Here is a 12,699-nt window from a genome sequence, read left to right as displayed (position 1 = left end):
AGGCTGCAGTGAGCTCTGATCATGACACCGTACTCCAGCCTGGGTGACAGAGTGAGACCCTGTCTCCAAAAAAAAAAAAAGGTTTTTAAAAAGGTTTATGAATAACAGCAGTCTCCAAGCTGTTCCTCCCCGCCCCTGAGTGCTGCTCCTCAGGAGCAGTCATTTGCCAATTCATGTAGCTGTTTCATCTGGTCTTTAACTTCATATGTATAAATAACATGCTTATTTGTCTTTCATTTTTACGTATTTTCTATTAATGCTCAACTACAGTATAGAAGATAAGGACTAGCTTTATCTGTCTTCAGTCTTCACCACCCACATTTCCCCTCCTCATTCTGCCAGTTTACCTATATTATCATTTTTAGTTAAATCTTTATTCATTATTTACATTATTATGACTGTAAAATATTCACATCTGAGCACATAGCATAAAATAATTATATTTCTTTTCTTCTCCAACTTTTGGGTTTCCTAGGAGTCAATAGTTACATGGAGTTTTTTTGTTTTGTTTTGTTTTGTTTTTTGGTGGGGGGTGTTTGTTTTTGTTTTGCTTTTTAGTTTGCTTAGTTGTCTCTGTAACTAATCTCACCAGACTCTTAACCAGGAGTGTAAATCTTCTTCTGAAATACTCAAGCATGAATTTCAGTCTATCGGTCCTCCTTTTAATTGGTGACATCCCTCCTGAAGATCTCTCGATTTATTTTCACAGCCTGAGTTCTTTGCTCTCTAAGCCGTCACACATTCTGGGAGTTCTCTTCTCCCTCTTTCTGGGGATTTCCTTTACCTGTGCTGAACCTGAATCCCATACCTTTCTCTTTTTTGGTTTACTCTCCCATTTTGGAGGAGCACCTTCACCAGTGGCTTCCTTAGAAAGGGTATTTTAGAGTGAATTTTAGAAGATCTTATATATGTCTAAATGTCTCAGTTCTACCCTCACAGTGGAGGGATAGTTGATCTGGGTATAGCATTCTAGATTGGAAACCTTTTTCTTCCAGAATTTTGATGATATTGTCTTCTAGGTCTAGACTTTGTTAAGAAGTTTGATGCCCTTATCATTCCTAATCCTTTGTTTTCTCTCTCTAGAACTTTTGGAATATTTTCCTTATTACCAGTATTCTGGACTTTCATTATGATGTCTCTTGATACACGTGGTTTTTTACTCATTGTGCAGATTTCTTTTAATCTAGAGCCTCTTTTAATCTAGTCCTTCAATTCTAGGAATGTTCTTGTGCTATTTTTTAAATAATTTCCAGATATCTCATTTCCTTAGTTTCTCTTTCTCCTATAATTCAGCTGTTGTATGTTCTAGATTGATTCTCTAGCTTTGTTATCTGTTTTGTTCTATTTACCATCTCTTTTGTTCTGCCTCCTGGGAAATTTTCTCATCTTTAAATCCCCATCTTTTAGTTAATGGTTTCTTTCCACTGACATATTATTTCATTTCTAAGGATTCGTTCTAATTTTCTAAATGTGCCTTTTTATAGAGTATTGTTCTTGTTTCATTGATGCAGTATCAACTCCTTTCCCTCCTTTGGGATTATTTTTAGATGTTTCTTCTGTTCTCTATAGTGGGTCTATTTCATCCAAGTTCTTTTTTACCGTTTGTCTGTTTTGGTCTCTGCTTTTTGTGTTAGAGACTTTCCTACGATATCTGATAATACTTGGCTGTCCATTCATATTTAAGGCCGGGCGCAGTGGCTCACATCTGTAATCCCAGCACTTTGGGAGGCCGAGGCAGGCAGATCACCTGAGGCCAGGAGTTTGAGACCAGCCTGGCCAACATGGTGAAACCCCGTCTCTACTAAAAATACAAAAATTAGGCAGGCATGGTGGTGTACGCCTGTAATCCCAGCTACTTGGGAGGCTGAGGCATAAGAATCGCTTGAACCTGGGAGGTGGAGGTTGTAGTAAGCCGAGATCAGGCCACTGCACTACAGCCTGTGGGGTGCAGAGTGAGTCTCTGTCTCAAGGAAAAAAAAAAAAGAGTGGAGCACTAAAATACTGATTGGAAGTTCTGTGTGGATAGCTAAAATTTGTCAAATGATAGGTTTGAAAATAGGGTTATCGACAAGGTGACCTAGATGTGCCACTGGGGGCCTCCCAACTGTCAGGATGTAAAAGCATTTTATTTGGGGGCAGCCAGTTTCCCCTGAGAGGACTCCTGCAGATTCCAGCTCAGGGACCCCAGCATTCTGGTCAACAAGCTGAGAAAAGGGCCTGGTGGAGGGAGATGCAGCTCACTGTTTGGCAGGTAGACTTTCACTTAATCCTTCTGTTTTTGGTACAGTGAGTCCTCACTTAAAATCATCCATAGGTTCTTGGAAAGTATGACTTTAAGAGAAATAACATAGAATGAAACCAATTTGGCCATAGAGCTAATTGATATAGACAAGAGTGAAGTTTCTACAGCAATTACTGATCACAGAAACATCACCAAACCTCTAAATAAAGACCCCAAACACTTCTAATATTAAATATTGAAATACATGTGAACTATGCCTACATGTAAGAAAGGTTAATAAAAACGAATAAGATTATTTACCCAATTATTCCAGTTTGGGGTCACGGGTGGCCACAGCCTGTTGCAGCAGTTCAGGATGCAAGGCATGAACCAGTGCTGGACAGGACACCATCCTGTTTCAGGACGCACTCACACACTCATACTCACTCACACTGGGACCGTGGAGACATACCAGGTCGCCTAGCAGGCACAGCTTGGGATGTGGGAGGAAACCAGAGGACCTGGAGAAAACCACTGAAGACATGGGAAGAATGTGCAGACTTCACCCAGAGAGTGGCCCCGGACACGGGGCAATATTTTTTCTCGTCAACGTCATAATGAAACGACGATGTTATTCATGGACCTGCTGCACTGGCCTTCGCCCCCTCTATCAAGTGTGCCGCGGGGCCTCAAGTCCAGGGTTTCTTGTTAAGCTCATGCCTTCTGCCAGGGTGGGCCAGAGGGAGTTGCCTGGGTGCACAGAGATTCTAGGATTCTGCAGTCTCCCTCACAGGCTTCTGGTCTGCCATCCCCGTGCCAGCCCTTCCCTCATCCCTATCTTGATTCCCCCAATTTTTAAAACTTCCCCTGGTTCTGTGATGAGAACCTGCTTGCTTTATGTTGGCTCCCATCATTGCAAACTCAAGTTATCACTTGCATCTCCACTCCATCTTCCAAAGTGTGTTGACACCTGTCATCTGCTGTCATCTTCTCTCCCTTTTTTGTCCTTGGTTATGTGTACCATTTTATCCCTTTGCTGTCATACGACTGGGGTTGAGATGGGAGAGGAAATATATGCATGCATTTATTGCTTCAGACTTAACCAGTCAGGATGATACTTTGTTCAATTCAGCCTATGTCTGTTGAGCACCTACCATGAGTCCCGTTCCTCTTAAATCATGGAGATTTTTAATCCTGGCCTTTTTTCTTGTCATTGAGAAACTTCAAGTTCAGAAAAAGGATTCCTCCCAGAGTAAGTCACACACACACACCCCTCAAAGGCAGAATTCAGCACACTATAACCTAGTTTATTTTTTTACTTGTCAGCGTCCTCAGCCACTGCTCCTCGGGAGCAGAACTGTGCCTTTGTCACATCTGTGTCCCCAGCACCTAGCACAGTATCTTACACATAGTACACAACCAGTAAATGTGTTAAAGGAATAAGTGAGAGAGTGAATAAAATGCAAGCTTATGTGTGTGCAGGACACACAACATAATGAATTTTGAAGGAGCAGGTATTGAGTATCCATCCTCACCACTGCTCTTAGTGCAGACTCTGGAAGATGCCATAGAACATGCTGGAAGAGGCCACACAGACCATTATATAGGAGAGGAAACTGAGATCTTGGGTGCTTCAGAAACTCCCCATTTCACACATGGAATTAGTAGCAAAGTCTAGAATTTAAGGGTCTTAGGACTCAGTCCTGTGTCCACTCTACTTTCCTAGTTAGAATCCTAAGCAATTGTATTTCGCTAACAATTCAGGGAAAAGGGCAAAAAGAAAGCTGGAGGGTTTTACAACCAAGTAGAGCAGTTGAGCACCATTTCCTACATCAAATTGCTTCTTCCCCAAAAAGCAGGCCTCTTAAATGCCAGGAGTTACATTTGCTGATATTCTAAGCAAAAGACCAGTATTGGGATTTGTCTGAACCAGGTATTTGGGGCGATTGAGAAATTTTCTTCATCGCAAATTTTACCCAGTTACTCTGATCATAATGACATGGTCTGGATGAAGTCTTGAATGAATTTGGGACTTGTGGAGAATGAGGGAATGGAGAGCTAGCAAAAACCTAGGATATATGGATCAGTATGAAAACCAGAAATAAAATGAGCTAAGCAGTGAGCTGTGTGCCTGGAACAGAGATGAAGCAGGAAGCATGGCCCCTTCCTTGAGTTAAGGAACCCACAGGAAGGTATTTGAGCAGAGGCGAGACAGTCAAAAGGGCATTGAAACAGAGACAAGCTGCCCGATGAAGCAACACCATCCAGTGCAGCTGGACTGTGGACACCTGTGTCCTTAGGTTTTCATACATTGTGAGAGCTTCGTTTACAAAGTGCATGGGATAAGAGGAGGGGCACCCCAAAAGAAGGAAAGCAGGAAAAGGCAGGGACCCCAGAGGCTCAGTCTCTGCAGAGGGTATTACTGCCTCACAGATGTTGGCCAAAGAAAGTTACTCACAGAAGTGGAAGGTGATGGGATGGGCTTTGGGGATGGAGGAGAAGCTGGATGGGAGGGGCTTATGCCCATGTTCATTGAGTCAACGCTGTGGTGCTGTAGGTACCACGCTGAGCACCAGGAACTCAGTGGAGAAAAAGACAGAAGTAGTCCTTGCCTTCTTAGAATGCATAATCCAGTGACTCCCATGGGAACCCTGGTGTTCCCAAGGAACTTCTTAAAAGAAGGAAAATATAGTGGGTTACGTGAAATAATTATGGTAGGCTAAAGAAACATTGTAGTATGTGGTTATGTCTGGAAGAAACTCAGGCGTCAATAATGGAACCAGAAGCTAGTTGAGGAAGCCTCTGTGAGGTGCCTTCTGAGCCCCAGAGGGGCACGGCCCGTCTAGATGGGGCAGGAGTCACACCGAGGATGTGCCCCTGTGATGCCAGCAGCGCGGATTCACCCCACACCTATCTGCAGCCTCACTCCTCCTCCCGCTTTCAGATCTCATTCGTCGGTTCGGATCCAAGCCAGTTCTGTGGTCAGCAAGGCTCCCCTCTGGGCAGGCCCCCTGGTCAGAGGGAGTTTGTATCCTCAGGGAGGAGTTTGCGGCTGACCTTCCGCACACAGCCTTCCTCGGAGAACAAGACTGCCCACCTCCACAAGGGCTTCCTGGCCCTCTACCAAACCGTGGGTGAGTGTCCCTCCTGGGGGTGCAGGGAGGGAGCCTCTGTTCCCAGCCATGACCCTGGTATCTTCAAGCCTTAAGTGGAAGCTTGAGTGACAGCTGAGGCTGGGGACTCAGGGACACCTGGGCTGGATCCCAGCCCTGCCCCTGCTGGCAAGCAACCCTATTAAGAGACAGCCGTAGCTGAGCCCCCAGCGGTTGTTTCCATGCAGATTTACAGGCCCAGTGTTTGCAGATCATCTCATTTTTAAAGAGATGCCAAAAATCCAGATTTTTAAGTAAAATTATAAATTTTCAAATGATGACTCAGATTTGTTTTTGAAAGATAAATACTGGCTGGAGGCAGTGGTTCATGCCTGTAATCCCAGCACTTTGGAAGGCCAAGGCTGGAAGATTGCTTGAGGCCAGTAGTTGGAGACCAGCCTGGGCAACATAGTGAGACCCCGTTTCCACAAAAAAAATTAAAAATTAGCCAGGCATGGTGGTGCACACCTGTAGTACCAGCTACTCAGGGACTGAGGGGGAGGATTGCTTGAGCCAGGGAGTTTGAGGCTGCAGTCAGCCACAATCATGCCACCGCACTCCAGCCTGGGAGACACGGAGAAACTAGAAGAGAGAAAGAGAGGAAGAGAGGAAGGAAGGAAGGAGGAAAAGGGAGAGGGAAGGGAAGGGAGGGAAGAAAGCGAGAAAGGAGAAAGAGGGAAAGAAAGAAGGGAGGGAGGGAGAGAGGGAAAGTAAGAAGGGAAGGAAGGAAGGAGGGAGGGAGGGAGGGAAGAAGGAGGGAGGGAGGGAGGGAAGGAAGGAGGGAAGGAGGGAAGGAAGGAAGGAAAGGAAGGAAGGGTGCACATGATAAAATATCATTTTTTTAAGTATGCTAAAAAGTAAGTCTTCCTCTGATCTCTGGCTCTTAACTCCTGGCTGCCCTCCCCAGAAACAACTGTGTTCTCCATTTCCTGGATATTCTTCCCGGGAAGAGGATAAATTGTGTGTGTCTATATTGCAAGTGTTCTAAACGTGGTATTTTTCTACTGAATAATATATCTTAAAGATCATCCCATTCCATATGGACAGCACTAACTCATTTATTTTTTATTTTTTATTTTATTTATTGTTTTTTGAGACAGAGTCTCGCTCTATTGCCCAGGCTGGAGTGCAGTGGCGCAGTCTCTTCTCATTGCAACCTCTGCCTCCTGGGTTCAAGCGATTCTCCTGCCTCAGCCTCCTGAGTAGCTGGGATTATAGGTATGCCACCACACCCAGCTAATTTTTGCATTTTTAATAATGGTTTCACCTTGTTGGCCAGGCTGGTCTCAAACTCCTGACCTCAGGTGATCTGCCTGCCTCAGGCTCCCAAAGTGCTAGGATTACAGCCGTGAGCCACCGCACCTGGCGAACTCATTATTTTTAATGACCACATAAAATCTCCTTGATTGATGTGTCATAATGTATTTCATCAGCCCTCCTGATAGATACTTTGCTGCCACACATGGTGCTACTGTGCATATCCTTGCATTTACATCTTTGAGCACATGTGTGAGAATATCTTTAGACTAAATTTTTAGAAATGGAGTAGGTTAAAAAATATTTGCATTTTAAATTTTGATATTGCTAAAATTTTCTCCAAAACGGTTTTGCTAATTTACATACCTATCAAACATATATGGAAGTGCCTGTTCCCCCCTACCCTGCTTGTCACAGTTATCTTCAAACTCTTTGAGTGTTGTCAATCTGATCAGTGAAAACGAACTCAAATGTTTTAAAAAAACTAAAAATAAAAAATAAAACACTGTGCAAGTCAAACCAAGTATAGCCATGGGCCAGAATCAGCCCCTGGGTTGCCAGTTGGCAAGTCTGTGCTAGGTGCTGTTTTCCTATAGCTGTGAACTATAGTCAGCCCATCAGCGAGGCCAGCAGGGGCTCTGAGGCCATCAACGCACCTGGAGACAACCCTGCCAAGGTCCAGAACCACTGCCAGGAGCCCTATTATCAGGCCGCGGCAGCAGGTGAGTCCCCACCTGCCGAGGGGTGGCTTCCATCCACCTCATTCCCACCCAAATGCCTGACACCCTCTGAGCACCTGCTTCGTTAACCAACAGCTTCAACTCCGAGCCTATTTCTTTGCCTCTCCTCATTTACGCCACAGGGGCACTCACCTGTGCAACCCCAGGGACCTGGAAAGACAGACAGGATGGGGAGGAGGTTCTTCAGTGTATGCCTGGTGAGTAGCCACCTGCTAGCACCATTCCCCCAACAAGCCTCAGCTGCAACTGGGACCTACAGGACACAGGGGTTAAAGGAAAGCCTTAGAATAGAAAGGAAGATAAGAAGCAGAAGGTGAGGAAGAACAGGGCAATCAAGAAGGCCCAGAAAAGAACAGGCAGGGAGCTTGTTCCTCATTCTTCAGGGGTCAAGATATATCTGAGGAAAAGCATGAAGGACGTTCATGAGATGGACTAGAAAAGGAGGAAGAGAGACCAACAAGCTGAAGTAACAGAAAACCCTCTTTTTGTGCCATACATTTTAAGGATATACCGACAGGCTCTCTATTCCTAAAATATCTCCCTACCTAGATGCCACACAGTGCCAGACAGTCAACCATTTTAAAAAAAATTATTGAGATAAAATTCATGGCTGGGCGCAGTGGCTCACTTTTTTTTTTTTTTTTTTTTTTTTTTTTTGGGATGGAGTTTCTCTCTTGTCGCCCAGACTGAAGTGCAACGGCACAATCTTGGTTCACTGCAACCTCCATCTCCTGGGTTCAAGCGATTCTCCTGCCTCAGCCTCCTGAGTAGCTGGGATTACAGGCACCTGCCACTATGCCCAGCTCATTTTTTTATTTTATTTTATTTTTTTTTTTTTTTTGTATTTTTAGTAGAGACAGGGTTTCACCACGTTGGTCAGGCTGGTCTTGAACTCCTGACCTCAGGTGATCGTCCCGCCTCAGCCTCCCAAAGTGCTGGGATTACAGGCTTGGGCCACTGCGCCCAGCCTTAACCACTTTAAACAGTACAATCCAGTAATGTTTAGTGTGTTCACAATGTTGTGAAACCATTACCACTAATTCCAGAACATTTCCATTACCTTCCCCAAAACAGCCCAGTACCTCCAACTCTCCCCTGACAACCACTAATCTTCTATCTCTATGGATTTGCCTTTATGGATTTTATATCAGTGGAATCATATAATGTGTGGCCATTTCTGTCTGGCTTCTTTCAGTTAGCGTAATGTTTTCAAGGTTCATTCCTGTTATAGCATCCATCAGTATTTCATTTTTATGGCTAAATAATACTCCTTTCTATGGATACGCCATTTTGTTTATTCATTCAACTGATGGACATTTGGGTTGTCTCTATTTCTTGCCTATTATGAATGATGCTGCTATGAGCATTTGTGTACAAGTTTTTATATCAACGTACGTTTCTAAATCTCCTGGGTATATACCTAGCAGTAGACTTGCTGGATTGTATAATAATTCTGTTTAACTTTTTGAGGAACCACCAAACTGTCTTCAACAGCAGCAGCACCAAGTTACATCTCACCGGCAATACATGAGGGTTCAAGCCCACCATTTTTGAGATCCACGCTTTTGAATGAAAGCATTGCCTTCTTTTGTTTTGTTTGTTTGTTTGTTTTGAGACAGAGTCTCGCTCTGTCGCCCAGGCTGGAGTGCAGTGGCGCGATCTCGGTTCACTGCAAGCTCCGCCTCCCGGGTTCAAGCCATTCTCCTGCCTCAGCCTCCCGAATAGCTGGGACTACAGGCGCCCGCCACCACGGCCGGCTAATTTTTTTTTGTATTTTTTAGTAGAGACGGGGTTTCACCGGGTTAGCCAGGATGGTCTCGATCTCCTGACCTCGTGATCCGCCCATCTCGGCCTCCCAGAGTGCTGGGATTACAGGCGTGAGCCACCGCGCCCGGCCGAAAGCATTGCCTTCTTAACCCAATCTGATCCACGGAAAACTCTAAGGGTAGCCTGAACACTCGCAGTGCTTTGGGGATGGTTTGGAGGGCAGGTGGTAGTGGGAGATGTTACAAATGAGGAAGTGACACAAAACTGAGGCAGGAGGCACTGAAACAGACTCTGCCTGTAGTATGGGGGCCCAGGATGGTCCAAACGAATGGCTTTAATGCCTCTGAGGAGGCAGGAAGGAGAGCCCTGCAGAACCAGCCCCAAACATGTGCTCATCTGTGCTCCCTACCCTCAGTCCACTGTCCTGAGTCCCATGCAGGATGGGTGCCCCGTACACTTGGCATTGATTACCTGTCCTTGTCTGCCCACATGGTCTACACCGTGGGTCTGCATCAGTATAAGAGTCCTGATCCCGGCCAGGCGCGGTGCCTCACGCCTGTAATCCCAGCACTTTGGGAGGCAGAGGCGGGTGGAACACTGAGGTCAGGAGTTTCAGACCAGCCTGGCCCACATGATGAAACCCCGTCTCTACTAAAAAATACACAAAAATTAGCCGGGCGTAGTGGTCGGTGCCTGTAATCCCAGCTACTCGGGAGGCTGAGGCAGAATTGCTTGAGCGCAGGAGGCGGAGGTTGCAGTGAGCCGAGATCGCGCAAGTACGCTCCAGTCTGGGCAACAAGAGCGAAACTCGATATCAAAAAAAAAAAAAAAACGTCCTGATCCCAGAGTCTCTTCACGCGTCCCCTACCACAGCACTTCAGAGAAGCAGGTCTTTAATCAGTGTGTCTAGATGCAGCTGCTGACTGTCACCCCTACCCCGCCTCTCTCCCAGTCTGCGGACGGCCAGTCACCCCCATTGCCCAGAATCAGACGACCCTCGGTTCTTCCAGAGCCAAGCTGGGCAACTTCCCCTGGCAAGCCTTCACCAGTATCCACGGCCGTGGGGGCGGGGCCCTGCTGGGGGACAGATGGATCCTCACTGCTGCCCACACCATCTACCCCAAGGACAGTGTTTCTCTCAGGAAGAACCAGAGTGTGAATGTGTTCTTGGGCCACACAGCCATAGATGAGATGCTGAAACTGGGGAACCACCCTGTCCACCGTGTCGTTGTGCACCCCGACTACCGTCAGAATGAGTCCCATAACTTTAGCGGGGACATCGCCCTCCTGGAGCTGCAGCACAGCATCCCCCTGGGCCCCAACGTCCTCCCGGTCTGTCTGCCCGATAATGAGACCCTCTACCGCAGCGGCTTGTTGGGCTACGTCAGTGGGTTTGGCATGGAGATGGGCTGGCTAACTACTGAGCTGAAGTACTCGAGGCTGCCTGTAGCTCCCAGGGAGGCCTGCAACGCCTGGCTCCAAAAGAGACAGAGACCCGAGGTGTTTTCTGACAATATGTTCTGTGTTGGGGATGAGACGCAAAGGCACAGTGTCTGCCAGGGGGACAGTGGCAGCGTCTATGTGGTATGGGACAATCATGCCCATCACTGGGTGGCCACGGGCATTGTGTCCTGGGGCATAGGGTGTGGCGAAGGGTATGACTTCTACACCAAGGTGCTCAGCTATGTGGACTGGATCAAGGGAGTGATGAATGGCAAGAATTGACCCTGGGGGCTTGAACAGGGACTGACCAGCACAGTGGAGGCCCCAGGCAACAGAGGGCCTGGAGTGAGGACTGAACACTGGGGTAGGGGTTGGGGGTGGGGGGTTGGGGGAGGCAGGGAAATCCTATTCACATCACTGTTGCACCAAGCCACTGCAAGAGAAACCCCCACCCGGCAAGCCCGCCCCATCCCAGACAGGAAGCAGAGTCCCACAGACCGCTCCTCCTCACCCTCTACCTCCCTGTGCTCATGCACTAGGCCCCGGGAAGCCTGTACATCTCAACAACTTTCGCCTTGAATGTCCTTAGAACCGCCTTCCCCTACTTCATCTGTTGACACAGCTTTTATACTCACCTGTGGAAGAGTCAGCTACTCACCCGCTATTAGAGTATGGAGGAAGGGGTTTTCATTGCATTGCATTTCTGAAACATTCCTAAGACCCTTTAGTTGACCTTCAAATATTCAAGCTATTCTGCAGCTCCAAGATGCAATTATAGAAACAGCTCCTTTTTTATTTTATGTCCTCTATATGCCAGGTGCTTCACCTGTTATTTCACTTAATCCTCATACCATATTTGCAAAGGATGTGTTATTATCTATGTGTGACAAATGAGGAAACTGAGGCTCAGGGGATAAAGGGACTTGCCCAAGTCCCACAGCTGGTGTGTGACTGCAGAGACTGTGCTCTTCCCAGTGTGCTGCAATACTTCTCAACCCTCCTCTAACCTGCTGTGTCACCCGCTTTCCCTCCCAGCCCCCACATCCTTACCATTTTCCCTCCCTGGGAATTCCTGCTTCTGCGAAAATGGTATCCTCTAGCTCACACTTTCCTAATGGCCCCATCTCCTGCAGAAGCCAGGTGAGCCCAGCACTGGACTGAAGTTCTTGCAGACACCCCACCTGTGCCCCTATCATCAGGGGAACTGCTCCACCTGAGAGGACCAACTCTTTAATTTTTAGTAAAACCTGGAGGTGATGGGCCGGGCGCAGTGGCTCACGCCTGTAATCCCAACACCTTAGGAGTCCGAGGTGGGTGGATCACGAGGTCAGGAGATCCAGCCCATCCTGGCCAACATGGTGAAACCCCATCTCTACTAAAAATACAAAAATTAGCCGGGCGTGGTGACACGTGCCTGTAGTCCCAGCTACTCGGGAGGCTGAGGCAGGAGAATCACTTGAACCTGGGAGGCGGAGGTTGCAGTGAGCTAAGATCACGCCACTGCACTCCAGCCTGCGGACAGACCAAGACTTCATCCCCCCCAAAAAAAAAAGATTGGAGGTGATTTACAGTGAAAGACACAAATAAAATACAACTGTTCAATGGAAATAGAAAATAAACACCATAAAAGAGAGAAGAGAGGTAATTTGTTAGCATCAAGAGTCAAGTTGCTATATGGTCAAAGGTTAAATTTATCTCTAAAAAATGGCAGGATTCAAAGTTGTACATACATGTGATTACTTCTGTTTTTTACACCCACATACAGTACAAAAGATTATTAAAAATATTCCCAAAAGGCAGGTGCAATGATGCACACTTATACCCCCAGCCACTCAGGAGGCTGATGCAAGAGGATCGCTTGAGCCCAGGAGTTGAAGTCCAGCCTAAGCAACATAGTGAAACCCCATCGCCAAAAATATAATAATAATTCTCTCAAAATACTAAACAGAGGTGGTTTTATTGATAAGATTTTGGCTGTTTGGTTTTCCACTATTCTCTATTGGCTAAAATTTGTTTAATGAGCATGAAATGTTTTTATTTTATTTTGCTTATTTTTATGATTGCAAAAAATGATATGAGTTTCTCCCTGCCAAGGCAAAAAAATATATATATACCTATA

At 46.4% G+C, this 12,699-nt stretch overlaps 1 protein-coding gene across 4 annotated transcripts in view; it reads left to right on the top strand.

Annotated features, from left to right (window-relative positions):
* C1RL (complement C1r subcomponent like) overlaps positions 1–12,699 on the top strand; it is a 14,661-nt gene extending 1,962 nt beyond the window's left edge. Inside the window, exons 3-6 of one of the 4 annotated variants that reach the window (NM_016546.4) lie at positions 5,166–5,355; positions 7,227–7,352; positions 7,493–7,567; positions 10,090–12,699. In NM_016546.4, the coding sequence (NP_057630.2) occupies positions 5,166–5,355; positions 7,227–7,352; positions 7,493–7,567; positions 10,090–10,862 (1,164 nt within the window). In that variant the 3' untranslated portion in view covers positions 10,863–12,699. Of the gene's footprint in view, positions 1–5,165; positions 5,649–7,226; positions 7,353–7,445; positions 7,568–10,089 lie in introns of those variants that run through there. The other 3 variants (NM_001297642.2, NM_001297640.2, NM_001297643.2) reach the window with 3 other exon arrangements.

The sequence above is a fragment of the Homo sapiens genome, chromosome 12 (genome assembly GCF_000001405.40).
Source record: "Homo sapiens chromosome 12, GRCh38.p14 Primary Assembly".
NCBI classification, from domain to species: Eukaryota; Metazoa; Chordata; class Mammalia; order Primates; family Hominidae; genus Homo; species Homo sapiens.
This window is presented reverse-complemented; position numbering and strand designations above follow the sequence as displayed.